The 11,454-nt window shown below is 54.9% G+C and overlaps 1 annotated feature.

Annotated features, from left to right (window-relative positions):
• Nucleotides 10,235–10,735: an enhancer, noted in NCBI's record as "H3K4me1 hESC enhancer chr2:10662988-10663488 (GRCh37/hg19 assembly coordinates)". NCBI's record gives its function as "activates a minimal SCP1, AML or CMV promoter by ChIP-STARR-seq in naive H9 embryonic stem cells {active_cell/tissue: H9 hESC(naive)}" and the evidence as "EXISTENCE:reporter gene assay evidence [ECO:0000049][PMID:30033119]".

Genomic DNA, 11,454 nt, shown 5'->3' with positions numbered 1-11,454 from the left:
TCACTTGAGGCCAGGAGTTCAAGACCAGCCCGGCCAACATGGTGAAACCCTGTCTCTACTAGAAATACAAAAGTTAGCAGGGTGTGGCAGTGCACACCTGTGGTCCCAGCTACTTGCGAGGCTGAGGCAGGAGAATCGCTTTAACCTGGGAGGCAGAGGTTGCAGTGAGCCGAGATTGCGCCACTGCACTCCAGCCTGGGCAACAGAATGAGAGTCCATCTAAAAATAAAATAAATAAATAAATAAAAAACTTGGGGAATATATGTGAGAATGGATTTGAGGCTATTAGGCTTAGGAAGAAAGGAATAATTTTAGAATGGACAGATTTTATTACTATGGTGCAACTATAGCAAAGTCAGTGCCATTTTATGGTACAGTTTTTCAACATTCTGGAGTCAGTGTGCGTGTAACTGTCCTAAGCCAGGACAGCTGTAGGATCTACGGCCATTGAAATGGGCCCTCTGATTTCAAAGGGAAGGGTGGGCGTGTGACTGAGACGGGCAGCAGGACCCAGGGGTGAGCAGAACCAGCTGGGAGCTGATGGTCCCGCAGAGCCAGGAGCTCTGCAGTGGGGGGTCCGAGACCAGCCCCTGTGAAGGCATCACAGCACAGGTGCCAGGCGACAGAGCAAAGCCACACTCTCATCAGCAAGAAACTATGCACTTCACAAACATCTCCGAGGCTAAACATCAACCACAGGGACACCAAGTGACCACGATCACAAGCTATGCATCTCGAACTGAGCCTTGTGTGAGCCAGGGAGTCACAGGCTGGGTGTGCTCGGCCGCAGTTAGTCATCAGGGAGGTGGCATGTACACGGCTGTGCTTGAGAAGGTCCTGAAGGCACAGGTAAGCTGGCTCTCACTCCCCTCCCCTCGCTGCACCGCCCTCCCCGGCCCCTCGGTCTTGGCCTAACTGGCACCTGTGAGCACCATCCACCCACCCCCAGGTTCCCAGGCTGCCCAGCAAAGCTGACCCTCATGTCCTACCAAAGGGTCCCTATGGCCAAGTATCTTCATTCCCTAGGGCTGTCATCAGAAAGTGCCACAAACTAGGAGTCTTAAACAACAGAAATGTATATTGTCTCAGTTCTGGAGGCTTGAAGTCCAAAATCAAGGTGTCAGCAGGGCCACGCCCCCTCTGAAGTTGTGAGGGAGAGTCCCTCACTGCCTTTCAGTGCCCAGTGGTGGCCAGCAGTCCTCAGCATTCCTTGGGCCACAGGCGCGTCACTGCCGTCCCTGCTTCTGTCTCCCTGCATGTCTGTATCTCCTCTTCTTCTAAGGACACCAGTCATATGGAATTAGGGGCCCAACCTACTCCAGTATGAACTCATCCCAACAAATTACTTCTGTAATGAGCTTAATCCAAACGAGAATTGCATTCGGAGGTACTAGGGGTTAGGACTTCAAATGGTTCTTTTTCAGGGGGATATAATTCAGCCCAAAACACCAGGAGACCAGGGAGGAGAAATCTGAGCCGGGTTTCAGGACGGCTGTGTATGACCAGCTGATGCCAGCACCTGCCTGATGGGCTCCCAGCTGCGCTGCAGAACCGCCTGGGCTCAGTCCTGAAGGATGACGGGGAAGGGACAAGGAGGCTAGATCGCATGCAAACCAGAAGCCAGATGTGTCAGCCAGTACCCTGTGATAAATATCTCTCTTCTTAAACTGGCAAGAAGGGATCATATTATCTCAACAAAAACCCTGTGATTGAAGCATTCTTTTTTTGTCTTTTTTTTTTTCTTCTGAGATGGAGTTTCACTCTTGTCACCCAGGCTGGAGTGCAATGGTGACATCTCAGCTCACTGCAACCTCCTCCTCCGGGTTCAAGCAATTCTCCTGCCTCAGCCTCCTGAGTAGCTAGGATTACAGGTGAGTGCCACCACGCCCAGCTAATTTTTGTATTTTTAGTAGAGACGGGGTTTCGCCATGTTGGCCAGCCTGGTCTCGAACTCCTGACTTCAGGTGATCTACCTGCCTCGGCCTCCCAAAGTGCGGGGATTACAGGCGTGAGCCACCGCACCAGGCCGCCTTCTTTTTGTAATTAGAAAAAATAGTAAACATGCAAGCAAGAATCTTCCCAAGCTGATGCAAGCGGGGAGTGAGGGGATGGTGTTCTGCGGGCTGCTGGGAGTGCCGGCCCCACCCTTTTCATCTAAACCCTCTATCTGGTCTTGCTGTGTTGCCCAGGCTGTTCTTGAGCTCCTGGGCTCAAATAGTATCCCCCACCTCCTGCCCCGACCTTAGCCTCCAGCAGAGCTGGGACTATGGGTGCGCCCCACCATACCTGGCCTGGGAGGTGCCTCTTCTAGTAATAATTCTCAGAGCCATGGTGGCTCTGCACTCCAGGTCCTCTGGGATCTGTCCCCACCAACCTGCTTCCTCTTCGGCCCAACTCCAGCCAAAGACCCAGAACTCCCCAGTGAGACCCCATTTTCTGCCTCCCTGAGGGACACACCACTGAGGCCACCAGTGGGGAGCCAGGCCTAGTCACACATCTGGGAGGGAACATGAGGTGACTCAGGCCACGAATCAGCTTTGGGAAGGAGCATGCTCCTGCGGCTTGGAGACGCTTAGATAAGAAGTAGATTGGGAACGGGCAAGCAAGCAGATCTGATTAAAGGGAGCTGAGTGAGCAGCCCTGAGCGAGCCGGGCTGGTGAGCCTGTTCTGTGTCCACAGCCTCCATTCAGCCTCTCGGTGCCTGTCAGTAGCAGGGCACCCCAAGTCCCTGCAGTCCCAGTGAAGAGCTCTGGAAGCAGAGCCCAACCCTTCCATTGTACAGGTCAGGAGACTGAGGCCTGGAGCTGGGACCAGAGCCTGGCCCTCCTTGGTTCCTTGTTCTTGGCCTGACTGGCATCTGAGCATCATCCACTCCCCCAGTTTCCAGGTCACCCAGCAAAGCCATCTGCGTCCTTCTCTACAGGCCCTGCCCAAGAGGCCCTGGGGGAAGAATAAATGAGAAACCCCATCCCAAAGGAGAGGGCAGAGCAAAGGCCTCAAGGAGGAGGGCTGCAGCTGTGGTGGTCTCCAGAAATAGAGACATTGCTCACAGCAACGTCCAGTGGGCCAAACAGCCCATTTAAAATGCCAGTTGAGGCTGGGCATGGTGGCTCACGCCTGTAATCACAGCACTTTGGGAGGCTGAGGCAGGCAGGTCACTTGAGGTCAGGAGTTCGAAACCAGCCTGGTCAACATGGTGAAACCCCGTCTCTACTTAAAATGCAAAAAAAAAGCTGGGCACGGTGGCATGCACCTGTAATCCCAGCTACCCAAGAGGCAGGAGAATCACTTGAGCCCAGGAAGCAGAGATTGCAGTGAGCCAAGATCACACCACTGCACCCCAGCCTGGGTGACAGAGCAAGACTCTGTCTCAAACAAATACATAAAATGCCAGGGTGCAGTGGCTCACGCCTGTAATCCCAGCACTTTGGGAGGCCGAGGCAGGCAGATCACCTGAGGTCAGGAGTTCGAGACCAGCCAGGCCAACATGGTGAAACCCCGTCTTTACTTAAAAAATACAAAAATTAGCCGGGCATGTTGGTGGGCACCTGTAATTCCAGCTACTTTGGAAGGCTGAGGCAGGAGAATCGCTTGAACCCAAGAGGTGGAGTTTGCAGTGAGCCGAGATCACACTATTGCACTCCAGCCTGGGCAACAAAAGCAGACTCTGTCTCAAAAAAAAAAAAAATTGCCAGTTGGCTTACAGGCAGCTCAGCCCCAAGTGCAGGGCTCCCCATGAACCTGGCAGCTCACACGTTCCCCCCGCTGGGGCCTCCCATGACCTGAAGCCGCTGTGCTCATTTTCCAGCGGGCTCGAGGTGCAGTTGAGTTCCTGGGGGTCTGTGCCAATCCTGGAAGCCACTCAGGAAGAAGTGCAGGCCCCTCTCCTGCCTCACCTGGCCATCTTGATACTATTTTCCTGAACACTCAGATCTATATCCTTTGCCCCGCTTTCTATGATTATGAAAGTAATCCATGCTCATGGGAAACTAGGAAAATCAAAAAAAGTTGAATAAAGAAGACAAAGATCACTCATAATCACACATCTGGGTAGATGTTTTGTGATTATCTTCTGGATTCTTTGCAGCATATAAAAGTAAGTTTTAAAGGTAGTCATAACTGGGGCCACACCACCTACTGTTTTGTATCCTGAGTTTGTTTTTTTTTAAACAGCATAATGTTCTCTGAATTTTCCCATTCAGACATTATCCAAAAACAAAATTATTGATTCATTTTTGTTTTCTTTGAGACAGGGTCCAGCTCTGTCTCCCAGGCTGGAGTGCAGTGGTGCAATCATGGCTCACTCTGCAGCCTCAACCTTCCTGGCTCAAGTGATCTTCCCTCCTCAGCCTCCCAAGTAGCTGGGACCAGGTAGCATGCACCACCACACCCAGCTAATTTTTAAAATTTTTATAAAAACTATTTTTGTAGAGATGGGGTCTCTCACTACATTGCCCAGGCTGGTCTTGAACTCCTGGGCTCAAGTGATCCTCCCAGCTTAGCCTCCCAAAGTGCTGAGATTACAGGTGTGAGCCACCAGGCCTGGTCCACTTTTTTTTAAGCCTAAATTTTTCAGGAGGTTAAGTTATCCATGGTGTTGAGCACAAGGTAAATCCCCACTCCCAAATACATATCAAAATCAAAACCCCACTTCCTCCCTGCATCCCGCACCTTTCACCACTGAGCTGGCCAAGCAGGTCAGACACAAGGTATTTGGAAGCACCCGTGCCTCATGGGGAAGAGACTCTTCCAGGACACAGGACTGTTTACCAGAACAGTGAAGGGGTCAGCTGGCCAAGCCCTTAGTGCAGCCTCTCTGTTAAGAGTTTTTTGTGGCAGCCGGGCACGGTGGCTCACGCCTGTAATCCCAGCACTTTGGGAGGCCGAGGCAGGCAGATCACGAGGTCAGGAGATCATGACCATCCTGGCTAACACGGTGAAACCCCGTCTCTACTAAAAATACAAAAATTATCCGGGCGTGGTGGTGGGTGCCTGTAGTCCCAGCTACTCGGGAGGCTGAGGCAGGAGAATGGTGTGAACCCAGGAGACGGAGCTTGCAGCTTGCAGTGAGCCAAGATCGTGCCGCTGCACTCTGCACACCAGCCTGGGCGACAGAGCAAGACTCCATCTCAAAAAAAAAAAAAAAAAGAGTTTTTTGTGGCCGGGCACAGTGGCTCACGTCTGTAACCCAGCGCTTTGGGAGGCTGAGGCGGGTGGATCACGAGGTCAAGAGATTGAGACCATCCCAACTAACACGGTTAAACCCCGTTTCTACTAAAAATACAAAAAATTAGCCGGGCTTGGTGGCATGCACCTGTTGTCCCAGCTACTCAGGAGGGTGAAGCAGGAGAATTGCTTGAACCTGGAGGCGGAGGTTGCAGTGAGCTGAGATCGTGTCACTGCACTCCAGCCTGGGCGACAGAGCAAGACTCTGCCTCAAAAAAAGAAGAAAAGGAGTTTTATGTGCATTATCCCTTTAGCCCACTGGCAACCTGTCAAATGGGACAGTGGGGCAGAGGTGGCCTGATTTCCCCCAATAGTCCTTCCCTTCGTCCTTAGCGATAGGACATCAATTTTATCTGGACACACGGCTGCTGGAATAAAGACCACGTTCCTCAGAATTCCTTGTTGCTGGGTGGGACCATGCGACAAATTCTATCCAAAGGTCTGTAACCCAGTGTGTTACATGTAACTCCCAGGAAGTGTGCTTTAAAGAGAACCCTTCCTCCCTTCTGCTAGCTGGAAATAGGACACAGTGGCTGAAGCATGGCAGCCACATTGGGCCATGAGGTGAAAGCTTCCTGCTGAGGATGGTGAAGCAGCAGGAGAGAAGGGGCCTGCGTCCCCGCAGATTTACCACACCACCAGCCCCGGACTGTTTACCGGTAGACTTTTACTGAAATGAGAAATACATTTTTATCTTGCTTAAAAATATGCTACAGCAGGCCTCTCAGAGCCCTGGGCTCTCTCCACAGATAGCTTCCTGCTATTAGGAAAGGTTATTCATATTTATTGCATGTCTACCTCTTGCCAGGCATGTCATATAATTTCTTTAATCAAATTTCATGTATTTTAGCCTCATTTTATTTCCCCAACAACCCTACAGTGTCAGTATTATGATCCCCATTCTACACATGAGGAAACCTAGGCTCAGAGAGGCTGAGGACCGTATCCAAGTCCCACAAGTAAATGACAGTGCCTGACTCCCCAGGTCCCGCTGGCCCCGTGGGCCTTGCTGCCTCCTCCCCAGTTCTCCCGGGTTCATTCAATTTTGCTTCTGAAGGAAGAGCTCCCACCTGAGAAAATCAAGTCACCAAAGGTGGCCATAGGCCAGGTGTAGTGGCTCACGCCTGTAATCCCAGCACTTTGGGAGGCTGAGGCAGGCAGATCACCTGAAGTCAGGAGTTTGAGACCAGCCTGACCAATATGGTGAAACCCCATCTCTACTAAAAGTACAAAATTAGCTGGGCATGGTGGCGCATGCCTGTAATCCCAGCTACTCGGGAGGCTGAGGCAGGAGAATTGGTTGAACCTGGGAAGCGGAGGTTGCAGTGAGCTGAGATTGTGCCACTGCACTCCAGCCTGGGCGACAGAGCAAGACTCCGTCTCAAAAAAAAAAAAAAAAAAAAAGGTGGCCATTGTCTTGTTATTCACCAGCCTCACGTTTGAGATGAAGTCCCAGAAACCGAGCCATTTCCCAAGGGTTTGAAGGAAAACTTCAATCATGTTTTAATATCAGTAAATTATTTTCTTTCTCGACTTAAGGGGAAAAGAGCCATCGTCAGCTATAATAAATCCAACTCAATTACCCTTATTATAGTGATTACTGCCCATGCCAGTCTAATTGGCTTCACTCAGCGTTTTCATTAAGAAACCGTATCTTCAAAGCTTTATACTCAGACACATTTTTACTTGGAGCTAAAATTTAGCTTTAGCGGCCAAACTGGGAGCTCAGGCGCCGGAGGTGCCGCCCGCAGCAGGCGGGCAGGCAGGCCAGCTCCCCTTAGCGCCCTCCCAGCCTCGGGAGGTGCTAGCAGGTCTGTCAGGACAACCGGTCACGACTGTGCAGTTGTCTCCACACGGGCCTCAGTCTTGTTGGGACAGGCCCCGGGCTTGTCAGATGGCAGCGTGGCCGCGGCTTGGCCGAAGCCTGGCTCCGGCCGGGTTCTGGATCTCACCGTGGCTCAAGCAAGTGCTCAGGGGGTGCTAGTTCTGGGGCATGGTGGGAGGAGGCGGGACGGGGAGCCGGAAGTCCTGTATGGGAGTTCTCGCTCCCCCCATGGCTTTTGGCAGGGTGCTTGAGCTTTCTAAGCCTCAGTTTCCCCCTCTTCAAGTGGATAATAGTTGTCATGAGGCTCAAGAGAGATCAGGTGTGGAAAGCACCGATGCAGGTGGTACCGTTTGACTGTGAGCCTCAGCACGGACCCAGCCCCAGCACGGACCCAGCCTCAGCGTTCCTCTCTCCAGTGGAAAGCTTGGACAGGTCGCGTCTCTGGATCTGTAGAGACACAAACTCAAGTCAGTTCTCCATCCGGAACTGTCAGTGGCAGGCCATGGTGCCCGGCAGCAGGCATCTCAGGCTACTGGCAGCCGAGGGGCTCCTGCAGGGCAGAGGGCCAGGGCACTGCCCTGGCACTGTCCAAGGTTCAAATCCCACAGCTCCACGTATTCTCCATGCGACTCTGACTTCTCACAGCCACAGCTTTCACTGGCGCAAAACGCAGATAATAATTGTGTGAGGCGCAGGCTGGCACAGGCGGGCTCTCAACAAATCAGGCCTATTGTTATTAGCAACGGAGGACCTCGCAAATTCCGAGAGTCTGGTGAGTGGAGGACACCTAGCTGGCCAGCAGCCTTGTGGTGCAACATTTTGCCAGCCCTGGTGACCGCTTGTGAAGGAAGAATAAAACTCGCCCCACGTGCCACTAGTCCAAGGCTGGCCTTGCAGGGGCTCACCTGGAGACCCCAGACTCGGGGTGCTTGTCTAGGACCCCGAGAGCTCCCCTTTCGCAGCTCCACCTGCTGCACTGCTGCTGCTCCCCCCAGTCAGCTTCGGAGGAGCATTATTGCTTTACTTCTTGAAACAAGACCGAGCTGGCCTTGACCCACGGCATTTGCAGGGAGGGAGAAGAGGTGGGCCTCGCAGAAGGGCTCCTTCCGTGAAGCCAAGATGCAGGGCGGCTGGGAAACGCTGGTGCCAGGGAAGCTGGAACTCCCTCTGCTCCCTCTTGCCCTGGTCCCGCTGCCCTGGGATGTCTCTCCCTCTCTCACATTCAGAGACACGAGCACAAGTAGACCGTGGTGTCCTGCACGGAGTGTGAATCTCGGCCCCAAACACTCCATCACCAGCTGGAGCAGCTGCCGGGGCTTCTCTGGTCCTCGGTCTGCTCATCTGTAAATCGGGTAACACTGTTCACCTGGCAGGGCTGTGGTCCCATCTAAACGAGGCGTGCACACGAGGAGGCTGCACTGGGCCTGGCACGTGGTCGCTTCTCAGCAAATGGGGCTGATGTGGTTTGGATGTGTGTCCCCTCCAGATCTCATGTTGAAATGTGATCCCAATGTTGGAAGCGGGGCCTGGTGGGAGGTGCTGAATCATGCAGGTGGATCCCTCATGAATGGCTTCCCTTCCCACGTGAGTGTGTTCTCACTCTGGGAGTCCACGGGAAATATGGTTGTTTAAGAGTGTGGTGCTTCTGCCCTCTCTTTCTCTGGCTCCCCTTCCACCATGATTGGAAACTTCCTGAAGCCTCACCAGAAGCAGATGTCGGCGCCACACTTTCTGTTCAGCCTGCAGAACTGGGATCCAAATAAACCTGTTTTCTTTATAAATTACCCAGTCTCAGGTATTACTTTGTAGCAATGCAAGAATGGGCTAATACAGGGGCAAAAGCAACAACTCCGAACTTTCAGGGACCTTGGTGATCACCCGGTCCTGCCCCATTATTGAACAGACCAAGGTCCCGGCATCTGAGGTCCAGAGGCAAAGTGAGTGCTGCACCTGCACTCACACCTTGCACCCCACCCGGAGCCACCCCGTCTGTGTCTCCTGCCAGGCCTCTGCTGGGCCTGCACTCACACCTTGCACATGCCCCCCCACCCAGGCCCCCCATCACTGTGTCTCCTGCCAGGCCGCCACACCCTCCAGCTGCTGCTCCTCCACCATGGCTGCCCTCAGCCCTTGGCAACTCTCGCCTACATCGCAGCAGCCCTTAAGGTCTCCCTGCCTCTGGCATTCCCCTTCCAGTCCCTTCTGAGGCCCCCTGCCTGATGTACCCTCCTAAAATGTCTTCATTTAAAAATCCCCATTGGTTTCCAAACCCCTCAGTTTCAACTCCTCAATTTGCCACTTAAAGCCCTACAAAAATGGATTTTGCCTCCAGCCCCATCGCCCTGTTTCCCTGAGACAACCCTCCTGCCACAGCCCAAAGGGTCCCATTGGAGTTTCCAGAACCCCAGGCCCTGGCTTGACCACGTGGCTGGAGACCAGGCTGCCTGGGGCTCAGGACAAATTTACCTCGGCCACAGGCTCCCCAACAGGGCTCAGTTGGGGACGACTTCCTGGGGAGCAGCCCCTCAGTCCCCCCACCTCCGTCTGGCCCCCCACACCACCCTAGAGAGCTCCTGAAAGGCCCTTTCCCTGAGTCCCCATGTGCCATGTTGGGCCACGGTCTCAGGAGCCGAGAGGCCGGCAGCCGAGGGATCTGCAGAGGTGACACAGTTGAGGGTCCTGAGATTGGAAGATGACCTGGGATTATATGGATGGACCCTGAGTGGAATCACAGCTGTCCTTATAAAGGAGGGCAGAGGGAGCTGTGATGGAAGAGAGGAGTTGGTGATGTCACCAAGGAAGGGAGGAAGAAGCGATGTGGCCTCAGCGGGGAGGTGCGCCCTGCCCACTGTGTGCCCAGCACAGGCACGGAGCCGGTCCCACCTGTGCCTCCAGAGGGAACCCCCACCACCAGCTCACCCAGAACCGTCAGGGAGCACCTTCACTTATTCAAAGTCATTGCGTTTGAGCTTAGTCCTCACAGCAGAAACAAGTGAGGTCACCCAGGCGTGCAGTTGAGGATCACACAGCCAGCCGGGCTCCAGCCCATGCCAGTCCAACTCCTGGCGGCAGGATTTTGCATCCTGCCCCCTGGGCCGGATGGCCACGGGGCTGCCACAAGGCCCATGATGAGCTGCCACCTCTGGGGCATTGCCTGCACTTGGCACGAGGACTCACCAGCATGGGAAGCACAAGGGCCTGCCAGGTGGCCCTCACAGACATCCTTGCAGGATCTGACCCTTCCACTGTGCCTCTGCCCTCGCCCCGAGGCCAGCACCTGCGGCTGCCTCTGCTCCTCTGCCCAGGCTGCCCAGGGCGTGGGGCCCTCCTTCTGCTCCCCTTGTAGCTGCTGCCCTCCACTCGGAGGGCAAGTCAGAGTCTCCTGGGTGCGCCTGCCCCAGCCCTCCCATCGGTCCCTGCACATGGATCCCCGACCCCAGCCCACTGCCCTCTGCTGCCCCTGCCAGCCTCTGTGGCTCTCTGGTCCTTCCTCCCTGACAGAGCCTGCCCACTGTCACCTTCTTATTCCTCAGTCCCCACAGACCACCGGCTGTCCATGCTGGCTCGCTCATCTTCCATCCACACCGCCTTCACTCAGCAGGTGATGGCGAGCCCCATAGGCACCCATGAGACATCCGGGATGCAGACAGAGAAAGGCCCTGGTGGTGGGTGGTGGCGAGTTCACTCCAACGGGGGCAGCCCCACAGTGAAAACATCAAGTGAGCAGATGGTGCCAGGAGTGAGATGGGGCTGAGCAGACTGGGGGTGCTGAAGAGGCTGGGGGGCTGAGGAGGCTGGGGGGCTGAGGAGGCTGGCAGGGACTAAGGAGGCTGAGCAGGCTGAAGGGTGCTGAGGAGGCTGGGGGGCTGAGGAGGCTTGGGGTGCTGAGGAGGCTGGAGGGCTGAGGAGGCTGTGGGAGCTGAGGAGACTGGGGGTGCTGAGTGGGCTGGGGGTGCTGAGGAGGCTGTGGGAGCTGAGGAGACTGGGGGTGCTGAGGAGGCTGGCGGGGACTGAGGAGGCTGGAGGGCTGAGGAGGCTGAGCAGGCTGGGGGAGCTGAGCAGGGTGGGAGGGCTGAGCAGAGTGGGGGAGCTGAGCAGGGTGGGGGAGCTGAGCAGGGTGGGGGAGCTGAGCAGGGTGGGGGAGCTGAGCAGGGTGGGGGAGCTGAGCAGGGTCGGGGCCCCACTGCCTGGAAGGGACCAGCCAGGAGAAGCTGGTGGCAGTAGAGAGTCTCCATGTGGTGTCTGGGGATGAGGGCTCCAGGTGGACAGAAGGACGCCCTGAGGCTGGACCTGTCAGTTGGAGGAGAGCGGGAGAGGTAGGCGGAGGTAACTGGCACCCCAGATAGGGCCTTGAGGGAAAGGACACTCGGCAGGGTGTAGGGCTGGGGCTGCAGGCCTGTGT

Source organism: Homo sapiens, chromosome 2, assembly GCF_000001405.40.
Source record: "Homo sapiens chromosome 2, GRCh38.p14 Primary Assembly".
NCBI classification, from domain to species: Eukaryota; Metazoa; Chordata; class Mammalia; order Primates; family Hominidae; genus Homo; species Homo sapiens.
The sequence above is the reverse complement of the archived record's forward strand: the minus strand, read 5'-3'. Positions and strand labels throughout refer to the sequence as shown.